Source organism: Homo sapiens, chromosome 17 (assembly GCF_000001405.40).
Source record: "Homo sapiens chromosome 17, GRCh38.p14 Primary Assembly".
NCBI classification, from domain to species: Eukaryota; Metazoa; Chordata; class Mammalia; order Primates; family Hominidae; genus Homo; species Homo sapiens.
The window spans coordinates 18,455,807-18,475,794 of NC_000017.11; the positions used below are offsets into that span (position 1 = coordinate 18,455,807).

Here is a 19,988-nt window from a genome sequence, read left to right on the forward strand (position 1 = left end):
TGTTAAAAACATGCCCATTGGCCTGGTGTGGTGGCTCTTGCCCTGTAATCCCAGCACTTTGGGAGGCCGAGGCAGGTAGATCACCTGAGTTCAAGTGATCAACACCATCCTGGCCAACACGGTGAAACCATGTCTCTACTAAAAATAGAAAAATAGCTGGGCATGGTGGTGGGTGCCTGTAGTCCCAGCTACTCAGGAGGCTGAGGCAGGAGAATCTCTCGAACCCAGGAGGTGGAGGTTGCAGTAAGGTGAGATGGTGCCACTGCACTCCAGCATGGGCAACAGAGAGACACTCCATCTCAAAAAAAAAAAAGAAAAGAAAAGAAAAAAAAAAGAATTCTATTGCCCAGATTAACAAACTAATTTTGTGCCAGCTGCCTTAATGAAGATAAAATAAATGAAATAAACTACTAAATTTAGTGCAAAGGAGCAGAGCAGACAATCTATTAATCTGGTAATTTTGTTAAGAATAACGATAGCTAATATTCATGGAGAGCTTGTTATGAGCCACGTCCTATCCTAAATATCCTACTTGTTTTAACTTCATCCTAGCAACAAATATATGAGATGGATTCTAAAACTCTCTTCACTTAGAAACAACTGGGGCCTAGAGAGATTTCTCTGTGCCATATGATGCTGTTTGGTAGCATTTTGCCTCCAGTAGTTTCTTTCAGAATTGGGGTCAGTCCTCTCAAACCTCTTTGCTGCTTTATCAACTAAGTTTATACCCTCTTCTGAATCCTTTGTTGTCGTTTCAACAACGTTTACAGCATCCTCACCAGTAGAATCCATCTCAAGAAACCACTTTCTTTGCTCATCTGTTAAAATCAACTCCTCACCTGTTCGCGTTTTCTCATGAGCTTATTGCAATTCGGTCACATCTTCAGGCTCCACTTCTAATTCTAGTTTTCTTGCGAGTTCTGCCACATCTGCCGTTCCTTTCTCCACTGAAGGCTTGAACCCCTCAAAGTCATCCAGGGTGGTTGGAATCAATTTCTTCCAAACTCCTGTTGATGTTGATATTCTGACCTCCTCATGAATGTTCTTAATGGTATCTAGAATGGTAACTCCTTTCCACAACGCTTTCCATTTACTTTGCACAGATCCGTCAGAAGAATCACTATCTATGACAGCTTTAGCCTTACAAAATGTATTTCTTAACTAATAAGACTTGAAAGTCAAAATCGCTCCTTGAACCACGGGCTTCACAATGCATGCTGTGTTGGCAGGCGTGAAAACAACATTCCTCTCCTTGTACATCTCCATCGGAGCTCTTGAGTAACCAGGTGTGTTGTCAAAAAGAAATAATATTTTGAAAGAATTCTTTTTTTTCTGAGCAGTAGGTCTCCACAGTGGGCTTCAAATATTCAGCAAATCATGCTGTAAACAGATGTCTTCCAGGCTTTGCTGTTAAGTGTACAGAGCACAGGCAGAGTAGATTGAACATAATTCTTAAGGGCTGTAGCATTTCTGGGATGGTAAACAAACAACGGCTTCACTTTAAAGTCATCACCAGCTATGTTAGCCCCTAAGAAGACAGTCAGCTGTCCTTTGAAGCTTTGAAGCCAGGCACTGACTTCTCGTTTCTAGGATGAAAGTCTTAAATGGCATCTTCCACCGGAAGGTGGAGGTTGCAGTGAGCTGTGACTATGCCACTGCACTCCAGCCTGGGTGACAGAGACAGACCCTGTCTTAAAAAAAAAAAAAAAGACATATACACAACATTGATTAAGTTCATCCTCTTATATCACTGAGGTTGTAAACAATTACAATAGCAACATCAAAGATCGCTGATCGCTATGACAGATATGATAATAATGAAAACATCTAAAATACTGTTACTGAAATGGAACACAGAGACACAAAGTGAGCATATGCTGTTAGAAAAACAGCACCGCAAGACTTGCTTGACACAGGGTTGCCACCAACCTTCAGTTTGTAAAAAAATAATATCTGCAAAGTGCAATAAAGCAAACACAATAAAATTTGGTAGGCCCGTACGTGAGATTTCTTTGTATTATTTCTTTTTGTTTTTCTTTGTAGAGATGGGGTCTCACTGTCACCCAGGCTGGAGTGCAGTGGCACCATCACAGCTCACTACATCTTTGAACTCCTGGGCTTCAAGGGATCCTCCCGCCTCAGCCTCCCAGGTAACTGGAATCACAGGCATAAGCCACCACACCCGGCCTCTCTGTATTATTTCTTACAACTGCATGCAAATCTATAATTAACTCAAAACAAAAAGTTAAACATTTATTAAGTGTTGACCAATGTACCAAATGACAATAACAAAAACCCAATTCCAACTTAGATTAAATATAAAGCTACATACCTTAAGTAGTATACAACTGTGAAGCAGCATTTTAAAAATCAGATAACCATGTAGAAATACATTTCTATCTAAATAAACTCAAGGCATCAGACTAGAAAGAAATGTAAAATTACAAAGCCAAGCATTTCACACAAATCGTCAGAAAGCCAGCCAGGTACACTTCATCATTTCCACTATCTGCTTTCTATAAGATCTGAAGATATAATAGCATTTGTCTTGTATCTGTTCTCAACCACAGAGGTCAGAACCAAACTAGCTAATAAACTAGTCTAACTACTATACTTTAGTTAGAAAATAAACTCATTATAATTTGTACTCAAAGACAATGTTCCTGAGGAATTGGAGTTGAGATGGACTCTAAGGAACATGTCATTACATATATTTCTTTATATGTCATTACATATAAAGAAAATTATTTGAAGTGGTTTGTGGCACACAGATAGAATCCTTGTTCTATGTAATGAGTGCTGGCTTAAAAGGTATGCTTTCTGGAAATGACATTTTGACCAATTTAAATCATATTTTACATGTAATAAAACTATTTTCTATTTACATGAATCAAATAGTCTCATAAAGCAAACACTTACGTCTCCATTTATTTCCCACTTTTTGCACAAAATTGGATTTTAATAGAGTAGGTTTTCTTAAAAGGATAAATGCTCACTGAAATTGGTCATTTTATATATTTGAGACTGACAACATATCCTCATATTATGGTAATTTTATAGCAATATTGTCAAAGAAAACAGTGTTTTCTGGATTCACTTGAAAATGAAACCAACCTAAAGAAAACAAAAATTATAATCCCAAATATGCTACCCTATAGAGGAAAGGGTGTTTCTTCCCCTTAAGTCCCCTTATACATTAGTCATCTTTCTTTTATTAAAAGTCTTAAAATATCCTCTAAAGCAGATTTCAAAATACAACATTCCTGAGTCCTCAGGAGTCCTGCTCACAGAAGGGATCTTTAACTTACAGGAAGACGATGCTGACACTAGCTTAAGCACGCATTCAGCACACCACAGTTACAGTGAATCACACAGGAATTCCACACACATTCCCTACCCACTGTCAGCCTTAGTTTACATAGTGGCGTCAACAGCGAAAAGCCAGTGGTTCCTAAACATCTTCTCAAATTGCCCAGTCTCCAGGTCCTTGCTCATTTGGCTAAGACTGAATAAACAAACACCATTCATTAAAACGCCTCCTGGCCAGTGTGGACACAACGACAGAGTGACTCCATACCGACGGCATCATCTAGTTAAAATTAAATTTAAACTTATTTTCCTTTGGGGTATGAAATATATAATCAAATGGAGTTATCCTTCGTATGTTAAGTACTTGATAACAGCCCTGAGGTGTTCTATAAACTCATCTAGAGCCTGTAATTAAGAAACAAAATTCTGTTTGTCTCAAGACCAATGTAAACTAGCTGAAAACAATAAGCTACATTTCATCAGCAGTTATCATGCTGAGGAATCACTAAAACCATATCTAAATAATTCTCTTTTTAAAAAATAACTCATTTCCCTTTAAAAAATAACTCATTTCCCTTCACACACACACTGCAAATGGCACACATTTCAAGAATAAACATGATTTCAAGCATATATCTTAAAGCAATTTAAACCAACAAAATGTAAGAACTTGGCAAAATCACTTAGATAATATCTAATTAGAATCCTCTTTTAAAACAACAGGAAAGTAAGTAAATAATAACCAAATAAATAAGAAAGCAAGTAAATGAGAAAACAAATAAGCACGTATATAATTAATAAGTAAAAATTTAAAAATCAATCCCTTTGCAAGCTGCAATAATTAATGAGGTTGTCACTAACCGATCAGACCATTTACATCAAGCATTGTGGTGAGACAGTCTTTCAGTTAGTATAAGAGTAAACAGAAATGGCGAAAAACTAATTCTTCACAATACTAGGATTTAGTTAAATTGAATTCATTTTATAGGTGGGTAACTATTCGTAGACCTTGAAGTTCTGAAATACAGAGTTAAAATAAGAGAAAGCTTTCTGGAATCAATAATATTCTAGTTATTGCTTAGTTGACTCATTGTGACATGCTTCCAACCTGGGCATCAAACAAGGATACACATCAAATCGGACTCAGTCTGGTTGGCTCCTTGCGCTCTGTAGCCGTGGTGGCAGCAGCAGCAGACGTCGGCGGCTGGGCTGCCAGGAGCAGTTCCACTGGGTTTCACTGTCCGAGACTTCCTTTGGGGCACTCCAGCAAACCAAGGTGGAGTACGAATGGAAATCTGATAAGCAAGGGCTTCAGCAAATCCTGCAGCTATTGAAGGAGTCCCAGTCCCCAGACACCACCATCCAGAGAACTGTGCAACAATTCTAGAAACTGGAACAACTTAATCAATATCCAGACTTTAGCAACTACTTGATTTTTGTTCTTACAAAATTAAAATCTGAAGATGAACCCACAAGATCATTGCGTGGTCTCATCTTGAAGAATAATGTGAAAGCACACTTTCAGAACTTCCCAAATGGTGCAACAAACTTCATTAAAAGTGAATGTTTAAATAATATTGGTGACTCCTCTCTTCTGATTAGAGCCACTGTTGGTATTTCGATCACAGCTATAGCCTCCAAGAGAGAATTGCAGAATTGGCCTGACCTCTTACCAAAACTCTGTAGCCTGTTGGATTCTGACGATTACACCACCTGTGAGGGAGCATTTGGCACCCTTCAGAAGATTTGTGAAGATTCTTTTGAGATTTTAGATAGTGATGTTTTAGATTGTCCTCTCAACATCAGGATTCCCAAATTTTTACAGTTCTTCAAGCACAGTAGTCCAAAAATAAGGTCTCACGCTGTTGTATGTGTCAATCAGTTTATCATCAGGACTCAAGCTCTGATGTTGCACATTGATTCTTTTATTGAGAAATCTCTTTGCATTGGCTGGTGAGCCAGAGGTATGGAAAAATGTGTGCCGAGCACTTGTGATGTTGTTCGAAGTTTGAGTGGATCGCCTGCTCCCTCACATGCGTAATATAGTTGAGTATATGCTACAGAGGACTCAAGATCAAGATGAAAATGTGGCTTTAGAAGCCTGTGAATTTTGGCTAACTTTAGCTGAACAGCAAGTATGCAAAGATGTATTCGTAAGGCATCTTCCCAGGTTGATTCCTGTGTTAGTGAATGGCATGAAGTACTCAGATATAGATATTATCCTACCTAAGGGTGATGTTGAAGAAGACGAAATGATTCCTGATAGTGAACAGGATATATGGCCACGTTTTCACCGATCAAGGACAGTGGCTCAGCAGCATGATGAAGATGGAATTGAAGAGGAAGATGATGATGATAATGAAATTGATGATGATGATACAATTTCTGACTGGAATCTAAGGAAATGATCTGTTGCTGCCCTAGATGTTCTTGCAAACGTGCATCATGATGAACTGCTGCCATATATATTGCCCCTTTTGAAAGAATTACTTTTTCATCATGAATGGGTTGTTAAAGAATTAGCCATCTTGGGTTTAGGAACAGTTGCTGAAGGTTTGCATGCAGGGCATGATTCCTTGCTTGCCTGAGCTTATTCCTCACCTTATTCAGTGCTTCTCTGATAAAAAGGCTCTTGTCCGTTCCATAACATGCTGGACTCTTAGCCGCTATGCACACTGGGTAGTCAGCCAGCCACCAGACACGTACCTGAAGTCATTAATGACAGAGTTGCTAAAAGGCATCCTGGATAGCAACAAGAGAGTACCAGAAGCTGCCTGCAGTGCCTTTGCTACCCTAGAAGAGGAGGCTTGTACAGAACTTGTTGCTTACCTTGCTTATATACTTGATACCCTGGTCTTTGCATTTAGTAAATACCAGCATAAGAACCTGCTCATTCTTTACAATGCCAGAGGGACATTAGCAGATTCAGTAGGACATCATTTAAACAAACCAGAATATATTCAAATGCTAATGCCTCTACTGATCCAGAAACGGAACATGTTAAAGGATGAAGATAAAGATCTTTTCCCTTTACCTGAGTGTCCATTTTCAGTTGCCACGGTGCTGCAGTCTGGCTTCCTTCCATACTGTGAACCTATGTATCAGCATTGGGTAAACCTAGTACAGAAGACTCTTGCACAAGCCATACTAAGCAATGCTCAACCAGATCAATATGAAGCTCCAGATAAAGATTTTATGATAGTGGCTCTTGATTTACTGAGTGGCCTGGCTGAAGGACTTGGAGGCAATATTGAACAACTGGTAGCCCGAAGTAACATCCTAACACTAACATATCAGTGCATGCAGGATAAAATGCCGGAAGTTCGACAGAGTTCTTTTGCCCTGTTAAGTGACCTCACAAAAGCTTGCTTTCAGCATGTTAAGCCTTGTGTAGCTGATTTCATGCCAATATTGGGAACCAACCTAACTCCAGAATTCATTTCAGTCTGCAACAATGACACATGAGCAATTGGAGAAATCTCCATTCAAATGGGTATAGAGATGCAGCCTTATATCCCTATGGTGTTGCACCAGCTTGTAGAAATCATTAACAGACCCAACACACCAAAGACGTTGCTAAAGAATACAGCAGTAACAATTGGTTGTCTTGGTTATGTTTGTCCTCAAGAGGTGGTCCCCATGCTACAGCAGTTTACGAGACTCTGGTGCACCTCTCTGAGAAACATAAGAGACAATGAGAAAAGGATTCAGCATTCCGTGGAATCTGCATCATGATCAGTGTGAATCCCCATGGCATAATCCAAGATTTTATATTTTTTTGTGATGCTGTTGCATCATGGATTAACCCAAAAGATTATCTCAGAGACATGTTCTGTAAGATCCTTCATGGATTTAAAAATCAAATTGGCAATGAAAATGGGAGGCATTTCTCTGACCAGTTTCCTCTTCCCTTAAAAGAGCATCTTGTAGCTTTTTATGGTGTTTAATGTAATACACTTAAGCTGCAGTCCCAAAATTAGGGGTCCTTCAGTCTTGGAGACTATGAGGGAGCCTCTGCACCCAGGGAAAATGCTACCCTTCATGGGGGGAAGGGTAAACCAGTAGGGAATACAGTATAATCTCAACCCTACTGGGAGGGGCGGGAGGGAGGTGTTGCCATCACTGTATTAAGTTGACGTTGGGAAACGTTTTAACATCTGGAGGCTTTGTGGGTGGAAATATGTCTCCAGTTACAACTCCACAGTGGACGTGAAGAGGGGGAATAAAAAAGAAGAAAAAGAAAGAAAGTGTGGCCGGGCACAGTGGCTCATACCTGTAATCCTAGCACTTTGGGAGGCTAAGGCAGGTGGATCAGTTCAGGTCAGGAGTTTGAGACCAGCCTGACCAACATGGTGAAAAAAATACATCTCTATTAAAAAAATACATGCACACACACAAAAAATCTAGGCATGGTGGAGGGCACCTGTAATCCCAGCTACTTGGGAGGCTTAGGTGGGAGGATCACTTGAACCTGGGAGGTGAAGGTTACAGTGAGTTGATATCATGCCATGGCACTCCAGCCTGGGCAACAGAGCAAGACTCCTGTTTAAAAAAAGAAAGAAAGAAAGAAAGAAAGGGATGGGGGAATGCTTTATTAATGCAGTTGTTTAAATATATTGTGATTAATCCATACAACCAAACTGTAAAGATGTATCTTAAAGAACAAGGCACCTCTCTGTGTACTGAAATGTACTGTATGTACATTTGTACTGAAATATAAGCATAAGCAAGTATGTGCTGTCTATGTATGTGGAAAGAGTCTGTAATGCATTAAGAGGAGAAAGCGTGCATTAAAGGAGGTATTTCCCATTTTGGAGGCAGGGAGGAAAATCTGGCATGCATGTGTGTGAGAGAGAGTGCATTAGAATATGCGCAGAAAACACATCTGCGAACGCATAGCGCAAATGCTTACTAATGGAGAGCAGGGGTGCTGGCCCGCTTCTACTCTGTCGTGTGTTTCCATTGTGTTAGACTTACTGATAATGAGTTCATGTGACTTTTGTAATCCTAGAGAGGGGACAGCATGTGTGAAGGTCTGAAGCAATAGAATGCATTAGGGAAAATACTAAAATTGGCCCAAAAAGGAAACAAGGATGGCAGGAAGAGATGAGAGTGGAGAGGAAGGCGGCAGGCAGATGGCCCAGGGTAGCCTACGCTCTGCCAAGGAGTGTGGGGTTCATCCCAGTGCAGCAGGCTTTCTTTGTCCTCACTGGCAGCTCCTCTCAGCCTATGAGGCTGCCTCCTTGTCTTCTGCCCACATCTGACTGTGGGAGTTTCTAATCTAATCGCTTAGGAGGCCATCAACTTTACTTAGGGCTGAAGAATGTCTCATTCACTCAATAAATATTTACAAGCCCCAGCACAGTGGCTCACGCCTGTAATCCTAGCACTTTGGAGGCCAAGGTGGGAAGATCACTTGGATCTAGGAGTTGGAGAGCAGCCTGGGCAACATAGCAAGACCCCATCTCTACGAAAAATAAGAAATTAGTCAGGCCTGGTGCTGCGCACCTGTGGTCCCAGCCACTTGGGAGGCTGAGGTGGGAGGATCGCTTGAGCCTGGGAAGTCAAGGCTTCAGTGAGCCGAGATCTTGCCACTGCACTCCAATTTTGGCAACAAGCAAGACCTTGTCAAAAAAAAAGAAGGAAGGAAAGAAGAAAGAAAGAAAGAAAGAGAAGGAAGGAAGGAAGGAAGGAAGGAAAGAAAGAAAGAGAAAGAAAGAAAGAGAAAGGAGAGGAGAGGAGAGGAGAAAGAAAATATTCATAAAGAGAAACTGGAATCCCACAGGCTCAGTCCTGATGAGGGTGGTCCTGCTTCCTCATCTCTTCTCTGTCTACACTGTCTCCTGTGACACCATCCATGTTCCTGGCTGTGTAAAGCATCTTCATGTGCCCCTCCCACGTCCTCTCTCCTGCTTGGTCTCCCTCTAAGCACAGACTTGGGAATATAACTGCCTCCTTGGCACTTTCATCTGATAGGCATCTCACATCAAAAACTCAACTCTGGCTTATAGCCACCCGCCAATCTGCTCCTGTTTTAATCTTCATCTCAGTAAACAGTGCTACCATCCACCCTGCTGCCCAGGCCAGATACCTAGGAGTCTTCTTTTTTTAATTAATTTATTTATTTGAGACAAAGTATTGCTCTGTCGTCCAGGCTGGAGTGCAGTAGCACGATCTCATCTCACTGCAACCTCGGCCTCCTGGGTTCAAGCAATTCTCATGCCTCACCCTCTGGAGTAACTGGGATTATAGGCGTGTGCCACTATGCCTGGCTAATTTTTGAATTTTTAGTGGAGATGGGGTTTTGCCATGTTGGCCATGGCTGGTCTCAAATTCCTGGCCTCAAGAGATCTGCCCACCTCGGGCTCCCAAAGTGCTGGGATTACAGGTGTGAGCCACCACACCCAGCCTATTTTCACTCTCTTAATGATGTCTTTGGAAGTGCAAAAGTTTTGAATTTTGAAGAAGTCTAATTTATCAATTTTATTGTGATCTATCTATCTATAGAGCTATACATACAGACATTTCCTGATTTACAATGGTTCAACCTACAATTTTTGACTTTACTGTGGTATGAAAGCCATATACATGCAGCAGAAATCATGCCAAGTACCCATAAAACCATTCTGTTTTTCACTTTCAGTAAAGTATTCCATAAATTATGTAAGATAGTCACCACTTTATTATAAAATAAGCTTCGTGTTAGATGATGTTGCTCAACTGTAGGCTAATGTATGTGTTCTGAGCACGTGTAAAGTAGGCTAGGCTAAGCTATGATGTTTCATAGGTTGTGTATTAGATGCATTTTTAACCTATTTTCAGCCTACGACGGGTTTGTTGGGATGTAACCCCATCATAAGTCAAGGAGCATCTGCATATAATGTTTTGTGTGTGCATATATTTTTAAAGTCTAGCTGACAGTATTTGGTAATGAATTAGATTTCGGGTAGAGAAGAATTAAGAATGATTCCAGTGGTTTTGGTCAAGCAAGTGTCTAAGATGGGGGAAGCCTACAGAAGCAGGAAGTTGGGGATGGGGGATCAGGAGCTCTGTTCTGGATGCACGGAGTTTGAGCTTGTCTGTTAGAAATCCACGCAGAGATGCTGAGAGGCAGGTGGAATCTGGAGTTCAGAGTCATTTGATAGATTAGGTGGCTGAGTGAGGTTGCAGAAGACCAACAGGGGTGAGAAGGTGGACTGAAAGGAGGAGAGAATCGAGGCCTGCCCAGGGCCTCTGCACTTAGAGGTTAGACAATGAGGTAAACCCAGCAGGAAGATGAGAAGGAGTGGCCAGTGAGGTGCAGTTAATCTTCCTGAACGTCAGTTTCCTTGTAATAACTAGGCAGCAGTCATGAACAGTACTTCCCTCATAGCGTGATGGTGAGGTTCCTGGAATGTGCGCTAAAAGTGCTTAGAGCAGCACCTTGCATGTAGGAGCTGCTCAGCGCATGTTAGCTAAACATGAGAATCTTCTCTCTAAACCTTCTAAAGAATTGTCAGATCTTGCCTGATGGCCTTAGCTATCAGGAGAGAAAATCTACAGAGAAACTTGGAGCCCACCTCAGCCAGGTGGCCTGGGCACTGTAGGATGCCACCTGCTCAAGGGGAGGACTGGGCACTGCACTGAGTCTGCTGCCCAGAGCCTGGCACCATTGGGCTGGCTGAGGCACACTGCCAAGCCAGCAGGTTTGTGCAACAGACTTGGCTCCCAAAAGGGAGGCCCAGAAGGCCCAGACACCCTCAGGAATAGGGCCTGGCTGAAGACTGTGATTAAGGAGGTGAGAGTTTCAAGTCTGGTAATTTTGTTATTAAACAGAAATGTGACTTCATTTACATTCCTGAGCCTCGAAGCCTGGACTTAAAGATGAATCCCCAGTGGGTGAGGCTGGGTACCAGAAGTGGCTACATATTTGCAGAGCCCACCGAAAATGGAAATGTGGATCTCTTGGTCATGTGTCATGAAGGATGTCAAGGCAGTTATAGCAGAGCATTAAACCAAGTGTGGGGCCCTTAGCACCGGGGCCCTCTGTGACTGCACAGGTCGTAGGCCCATGCAGCTGGCCCTGTCTGGCCCTGCCTGGTTTCCATCCACAATGAAGGAGGACAGAGTCTGGAAGGTTGAAGAGGGAGGCACTAGACATTCGTGGGTAGAGAGACCACTGGGGCTACAGTGTGGAGAATGGGTCACGGTGAGCAGGAGTGGTCAGAGCTGTTGGAGCTTTATGCTGAGATGGGATGAGGTCTGCCCAGATGGGTGGGGAGGGGACAGGAGAGGAGTGGGACCCTCTCTCTGGGGAGGCTGCCCTGTGGCTTCCTGTTTCTCCCTGTTTCCTGCTCATTGGGCCTTTTCTGCCTTCTCCTCAGGAATTCTCCTGGGACTGCCATTCTGGGATGTGCATATTCTTTTATTCCACTCCCTTTTGTAGAGATGGAAGCTCCCCCACTGGTGTGGGGCTGAGAGCAGATTCCCCCCATTGACAGAAACGAAGACACCACAACCCCTCCCTCACGGCACCATTGCTATCCCTTCGGGAACTGTGGCTTGAGATGTCCTGTTGAGTCACTTCACACCAGCCTCTCACTGGCAACCTTTGAATGTCTATGACATTCAAAGACAGAAAAAGTAGGCCAGGTGCGGTGGCTCACGCCGGTAATCCCAGCCCTTTGGGAGGTCCAGGCGGGCAGATCACCTGAGATCAGGAGTTCGAGACCAGCCTGGCCAACATGGTGAAAACCCGTCTCTACTAAAAATACAAAAATAATTAGCCAGGCATGGTGGTGGGTGGCTGTAATCCCAGCTAGTTGGGAGGCTGAGGCAAGAGAATCACTTGAATCCAGGAGGCGTAGGTTGCAGTGAGCCGAGATCACGCCACTGCACTCCAGCCTTGGCAACACAGTGAAACCCCATCTCAGAAATAAATTAATAAAAGGGAGGTTCTCTAAAAAAATTCTTTATAAGTTGCATTATTCAATTCTGTCTTTGTGAAATTAAATTAAATTTAAAAAGTTATATTGTACTTCTTCTGTCTTTGGTTTGTTTTTTTGTTTGTTTGTTTGTTTTGTTTTGAGACGGAGTGTTCTTGTTGCCAAGGCTGGAATGCAATGGCGTCGTCTCAGCTCACTGCAACTTCCACCTCCTGGGTTCAAGCAATTCTCCTCCCTCAGCCTCCCAAATAGCTGGGATTACCGGAGTACACCACCAAGCCCAGCTAATTTGTGTATTTTTAGTAGAGTCCAGGTTTCACCATGTTGGCCAGGCTGGTTTCAAACTCCTGACCTCAAGTGATCTGCCCACCTGGGCCTCCCAAAGTGCTGGGATTACAGGCGTGAGCCACCGCATCAGCTTTTTTTTTTTTTTTTAAGAGATGCTAGAAGTGTGGAATTTTATGTGAAATCTCCCAATTTTCAGAAGTTGGCTTACATTTTTAAAACAGTTTATAGGACAAACAAAACAAGTTTGCAGACTGGAATTGGCTGCAGGCCACCAAGTTGCAGGTTCTGACAGCTCCACTGTCACTGGGAGGCATCTGGAGCTGATTCCAAGCTGCTACGCCCAGCATCAGGAAGTGTCAACTGTATGTTCACCCTCCAGCTTTCGGCTGCCACACGCTGTGTGCTCTAGTTACATGCTCTGACCCGCCACAGACCACGGTGGCTCTCCCCAAGGCCCAGAGTCCATGATGGGAGCTTGACATGGGGTCAGTGAGCTTCAGTAGAAAGGGGGTCTCCCCCAACAGTGCAGCGAGAAGCAACAAGAGTTGGGGTGGGGACGTGGGGAACAACATGCTCACATGCAGGGCTCTGAGCTCTGTGCGCTCTGCCTAATTGTTCTTCTCTTGGTCATTGGACAGCCCCAGCCCCTGCAGTTCCTGCTCTCCTCAACAGGGCTGCCCAGTGAGAACCGGACCCTGTCTGCTAGTCTGCTAGAACACTTTACCTTCACAGATGCAGGATTAAATACCCTGGCATCACACAGTGAGGATGTTATTTTCAAGTGTCTTTCAACCCTTCTGATGACCTCAAGAAGAAAGGCTAGGCCAGGTGCGGTGGCTCAAGCCTGTAATCTCAGCACTTTGGGACACTGAGGTTGGAGGATCGCTTGAGCCCAGGAGTTTGAGACCAGCCTGCACAACATAGTGTGACCCTGTCTGTAAAATAAATTAAATAAATAAATAAATAAATAATTTTTTTAAAAGAGAAAGGCTCAGGTTGATGCCAGTACCTCCTCTCCACCGGTGTTGATTGCATTTTTTTTTTTTTTTTGAGACAGAGTCTTGCATTGTTGCCCTGGCTGGAGTGCAATGGCTCACTGCAACCTCCGCCTCCTGGGTTCAAGTGATTCTCCTACCTCAGCCTCCCAAATAGATGGGATTACAGGTGCCTGCCACCATGCCTGGCTAATTTTTGTATTTTTAGTAGAGACGGGGTTTCACTATGTTGGCCAGGTTGGTCTTGAACTCCCGACCTCATGATCCACCCTCCTCAGCCTCCCAAAGTGCTGGGATTACAGGTGTGAACCACCATGTCTGGCCACATTTTTTTTTTTTAAGAGATGCGGGTCTGTTTCTGTCACCCAGACTGGACTGCAGTGGCTATTCACAGACATAATCATAGCATGCTACTGTGTGGAACTCCTAAGCTCAAGCGATCCTCCTGCCCCAGCCTCCCAAGCAGCTGGGACTACAAGTGCACACCACCACGCCTGGGTCTGATCTCACTTTTAACACAAAAAGGGCAGGCTTCAGACTCAGAACTTTGGGTTGACCACATTATCCCATCTGGAATATAATAGCAGTTGAGGGGGAAGCAGGCTCAATTCAATCAGGCCGAGCACCTGCATTCTTTTAATTATGTACATTGCAGAGACAGAGCAGGTGTGTGGATTCTGGAGCAAAACAATGGGAGACTGTAAGTGAGTATTTTAGCTTTTTCTTCCTGATACCTTTATATACACTTGCAGAGTTACCACAGCAACCTAGCAGTGATTCCCTTCCTCCCCCCACCTTTTTTATGTGGTAAAGTGTACAGAATATAAAAGTTATCATTTAAACCATTTGGAAATGCACAAATTACTAGCATTAAGTACATTCACGCTGTTATGCAACCATCACCACCATCCATCTCCAGAACCTTTTCATCTCCAAATGAAACTCCCATTAAACACTAACTCCCCTTTCCCCAGTCCCCTGAGTCCATGGGGGACACCAAGTCAGCCCTCAGCCCCGCTACGGGTTCCTGCACCTCCTGGAACCTCCGTCTCCTTGTTGATAAGGGAAGTGGGATCTTGCTACTTGGCAGGCTTGTGGTGATGACCAAATCAATGAAGTGTGTGAAGCACTTAGCACATAAAGTGAATGTTCAAAGCCTGATGGCTGCCCTCATCCAGCCAGGATCTGCACCTCCCTTCCAGGATCACTAAGTCCATTCCCAGAAGGGAAGTTGTGCATTGATTGCAGTGACCCGGTGATGCCTTCTTTCCAGCCCACGTGAGCTCTGGCAACGCATCACGTTCAATGCTCGCAGCATGTGGACGGCCCGTGACAACACTCTAGTTTCCAGTGTGAATGTAGATTTCCACTTCCCGCCCACATCCCACCTTTAAAATTGTTGGTTGTTATTTCAGTCAGTTTCTAGGCTGGGAGGCAGAGCCGCACTGAAGAAGTAGACACACCCTTCTCAGTCACCTTCTCATCACCAAGTAGGAACTGAGCATCTACTGTCTTTCTCCCTTGAGCAAATGGCTGGACAATATGCCTCAGGAATAGGGCTCATCAGAGGGAGGGTGCGGGAGGCCTGGGTTCTGAATCTTACCCATCTCTCCTTCGTTGGGGTATTGAGCAAGCCTTTAGTGTGGAAGGAAACAGGTCCTGAGGTGTGCAGGAAGTGGCCTGGGATTTTCCATATTTCTGTAACAGCACAACTATCACTGCAGCCAGGTCATTTATGATGGCCGCTGGGAGGACACTGAGAAGCAGCTGCTACCTGTGGAAAGAACTGTAGGATTTTAGTTGATGAGAACCACTGAGGGATATGGCTGCCAAAATAATAAAATAATCTTAGGTGACATCACTGGTGGTAGAGTGTGTAGAAACAAGGGAGGTGAAAGCCCACACTGCAGTGTGTTGGTCAGATTCCTTGGGGGACAGGGTCTAGGTCCGGCACATGCCAGGAAGCCTGGCCAAAGGGAGAGATGGTCACTGACTGCCTACTACGTGGCAGGATCATGCTAGGTGCTTTACATGTGTTCTCTCATTTCACATCAGGGAAGTCATGTGAGAAAATATCACCCCCATGTACAGAAGGGAAAACTGGGGGTTACTGCAGTGAAGTAGCCTGCACAGCATCATCCCGCCTGGAAGTGAAGGAGCTTGGAATTGGGGCCAGGCCTGGCTGACTCCCAAAGTGTGTGCCCTTGTTGGACACTGGGGCTCCCCTAGAAGCTGGCGTTCCACTCTTTCATACCATGTTGCATTCTTCTCTGGGGATCCCCAGATACAAAAGAGAATGGACTCAGTGTTCCTTCCTGTTCAGCAGAGCAACCCCCACCCCTCATTCCCTGCCACCCCTCTGGAATCAGCCCTGGATGAGAGTGAGTTGATAGGACTAGGAGCTGAGCTGTGCCATTCTGGGCTTCCCACCCCCCAGGCACAGAAAACAGTGATCAAAATGAAACCACTTGGCAGAACCCTCCTCACTCCCTAGGGACAGAGTGCAGTCACTCAGGCCCATGTTCCCTGCAAAGACGTTGAGGTCCGTGAAAGTAGGTCCATCCCATGAGGGGGCATCTGAGAAGAGAGGTGGGGTGGTGCCGTGGTGAGCAGCACAGACTCCATTGCGGGACTGCCCGGGCTGAGTCCCCACTCTGGCACTTTGCCGCTGTGTGACTGTGGGCAAGTTGCTTCACCTCTCCGTGCTTTTGTTTCTTTCCAGGTAGAATGGGGATTATTATTTGTGCCTGCTTCATAAAACTGACATAAAGTTAATTGTAAGACACCTAGAATGATGTCCAGCACATAACCAACTATATTAACTTTAACAAAAAATCTTGGCCGGGCACGGTGGCTCACACCTGTAATCCCAGCATTTTGGGAGGCCGAGGTGGGTGGATCACCTGAGGTCAGAAGTTCGAGATCAACCTGGCCAATATGGTGAAAGCTTGTCTGTACTAAAAATACAAAAAAGTAGCCGGGTGTGGTGGTGGGTGCCTGTAATCCCAGCTACTCAGGAGGCTGAGGCAGGAGAATCCTTGAACCCTGGAGGGGGATCTTGCAGTGAGCTGAGATGGCGCCATTGCACTCCAGCCTGGGCGACAGAGACAGACTCTGTCTCAAAAAAAAAAAAAAAAAATCTGTGTGCACTTCCTCCTTGAAGCCATGTAGCCCAGCTGTATATCCATCTTACCCTTTGGAATATGAGATGCTTAAGGCTGGGACTATGTCCAATTCTCTCTGTACCCCAGTGCCCAGAGGAGTCCAGCACTTACTTATTGTCTGCGGCAGGCATTGAATTTTCCAAATATTCCTGGTCCCAGGTGCTCTTTCAACCTCTTGCTGCCTCCTGTCTAGAGGTGAGGTCACTTTCCCCTCCCCTTGAGCCTGGGTGGTGCTCATGTGATTGCCTCAACAAATAGAATGTGGTGGAAATGGCACTGGATGGCTTCTGAGGCTAGGTTATAAAAGGGATGTAAGTTCCACCTGGCTCTCGCTGGGAATGCTCACCCGTGGACTCCAGCCACCATATTGTGGGGAAGCCCAAGCCATGTGGAAAAGCCACTTGCAGGTGTTCCAGTCAATGGCCTCAGCTAAGATCTTAGCCAAGAGCCAATATTAAGTGGTAGACCTGTGGTATTAAGAACATTCATGCTGTTATACAATTATCACTACCATCCATCCGCAAAACTCTTTTCATCTTGTAAAACCAGAACTCTATGCCTATTAAATTATAAGTCTTCATTCCCCCTCCTACCAGCCCCTAACCACCATTCTACTTTCTTTTGTTGATTCTGGCCACTCTAGGTATCTCAGACAAGTAAAATCATACAGTGCTTTTTCTTTTTCTTTTTTTTTTTTTTTTGAGACAGAGTCTCATTTTGTTGCCCAGGCTGGAGTGCAGTGGTGTGACCTCAGCTCACTGCAACCTCTGCCTCCCAGGTTCAAGCGATTCTCCTGCTTCAGCCTCCCGAGTAGCTGGGACTACAGGCACTCATCACCGCGCCTGGCTACTTTTTGTAATTTTAATAGAGACGGGATTTCACCATGTTGGCCAGGCTGGTCTTGAACTCCTGACCTCAGGTGATTTTCCCACCTTGGCCTCCCAAAGTGCTGGGATTACAGGTGTGAGCCACCGCACCCGGCCTACAGTGCTTGTTCTTTTATGGCTGTTTTATTTCACTTAATGTTCTCAAGGACCATCCATGTTGTGGCATATGCCAGAATTTCCTTCCTTTTTAGGGCTGAATTGTATGTCTGGCCCACATTTTGCTGACCACTCATCCGTTGATGGACACGTGTTGCTTTCACCTCTTGGCTTTTGTGAATGATGCTGCTACAAACGTGGGTGTTCACATGTCTCTTTGAGTTCCTGCTTTTGGTTATTTGGGGGATATACCCAGAAGTGGAATTGCTGGATCATATAGTAATTCTATGATGAGGTTTTTGAGGAACAGCCACGCTGTTTTCACAGGGTTCCAGTTTACTCACATTCTGGCCAACAGTTGTTATTTTCTGGATTTTTTTTTTAATCATAGGCATCCTAATGAGTGTGAGGTGGCAGACTCCCTCAGTCTATAGGGCAGAGAAGAGAGAGCCTCTGAGAAGGGTCTGTGACTTTGAACACTAGAGCTCTGAGCACGAACATTCCCGAGGGCTGCTTCTAGTCTCCTGAAGACCAGAGCTAACCACTGGGAATGGATTGTGGTGACTGAAGGGTGCCGAAGTCAGAACTCTCAGTGGCCTGGCACTGTGCCTCGAAGTGCCTCCCTACTGTGTTGATTAGTCTAAAAACATGTCAGCCTTTGGGTATGACCTTACTGGGGCCCCTCCAGACAGGGCATGGAGCAGAGGGCCCTCCTTTATGGGCTGGACTCACTAGTGAAGCTGCTTAACTGTGACTCACCTCCAAGGCTCAAGGTGATGCTAAGGTGCTAAACTGCTGGAACTCTTAGCTGTGCCTGTGTCTCCTTGGGCTCTGGGAGATTTTTTCTTTTAGCAGTATTTTATGGCGATATTGTCTAGGTAGAATAAAATGTACAGATCCTGGTTTTCTGTTTGAGTTTTGTTTTGTTTTGTTTTGTTTTGAGACAGGGTCTTGCTCTGTCACTCAACCTGCAATGCAGTGGCACGATCATAGCTCACTGTGGCCTCAGCCTCCCAGGCTCAAGCAATACTCCTGCCTCAGCCTCCCTGTAGCTGGGACTACAGGCATGCACCACCATGCCTCACTAATTTTTTTGATTTTTAGTACACAGAAGGTCTTGCTATGCTGCCCAGGCTTGTCTCAAACTCCCGGACTCAAGCAATCCTCCTGCCTCAGTCTCCCAAAGTGCTGAATTACAGGTGTCAGCTGCTGCACCCAGCCTCAGCCTGTTGTTAATGGATGTAAACACCTGTGGGACCACCACCCAGAACCAGATCCAGAACATTTCCAGCCTCTCGAAGACTCCTTCGTGCCCCTCCCAGTCAGTGACTCCCAAGGGTAACGCCACTCTAGCCTGTTGTTCAACTTGACTCGAATGGAATTCTCACAGCATGTGTCTGTTTGGATCTGGCTTCTTCCGCTCAGTTGCAAGGCTCATTGACGTTTCCTGTGGCCTAGCTCCTTTTTATTGCTGAGGGCCACTCTGTAGTGTGAAAACCACAATTCATTTCTCCCTTCTTCTGTTGGTGACTATTTGCATTGTTACCAGCCTGGGGCTATGACGAGTAAAGCTTTTAAAAACAGACAAATATGTTTTCCTTTCTCTTGGGTAATTTTTCAGAAGTAGAAAAGCCAGCAACTTTGAAGTAGATATTTGACTATATTACAACTCACCAAGCAGTTTTTCTTTCTCTTTATTTTTTTTATTTTTTGAGACAGAGTCTTGCTCTGTTACCTAGGCTGGAGTGCAGTGGCGTGATGAGGGTTCACTGCAGCCTCGGCCTCCTGGGCTCAAGTGAGCCTCCCACCTCAGCCTCCCACATAGCTGGGACCACAGGTGTGCACCACCACACCTGGCTAATTTGCCTTTTAAATTATATGTAGAGACAGGGTCTTCCTATCTTGACCAGGCTGGTCTCAACTTCTTGGACTCAAGTGATCCTCCCACTTCAGCCTCCCAAAGGGCTGGGATTACAGGCATGAGCCACCACGCCCTGCCCATTTTTCTAAGTTGGATTATTTTACACTCAAGTCTGCTATGAATGATAGTTCCAGTTGTTCCATATCCCAATCAATTGGTGATTGCTACAAATGACGTGACGTGATGAAAATATTCCTGGTATTCGAGAGGATTGCAAAGAATTTCCCTTCTTTTCTCTCCTTTCTGCTCCCCTTGTACTGTCTACTCCTTAACTTGGTCAAATTCTACTTGATCCAGAACATAATGGGATGGTGAGTGCAGACGACACACACGGCCTCAGTCTATGGGAACATCTCAAAGGAGTTCGTCTGCAAATTCTAGTGCATCTAGGCAGAACACAGGAA

At 44.6% G+C, this 19,988-nt stretch overlaps 1 pseudogene; it reads left to right on the top strand.

Moving 5' to 3' along the window:
• Window positions 4,468–7,692, top strand: TNPO1P2 (transportin 1 pseudogene 2; annotated as a pseudogene).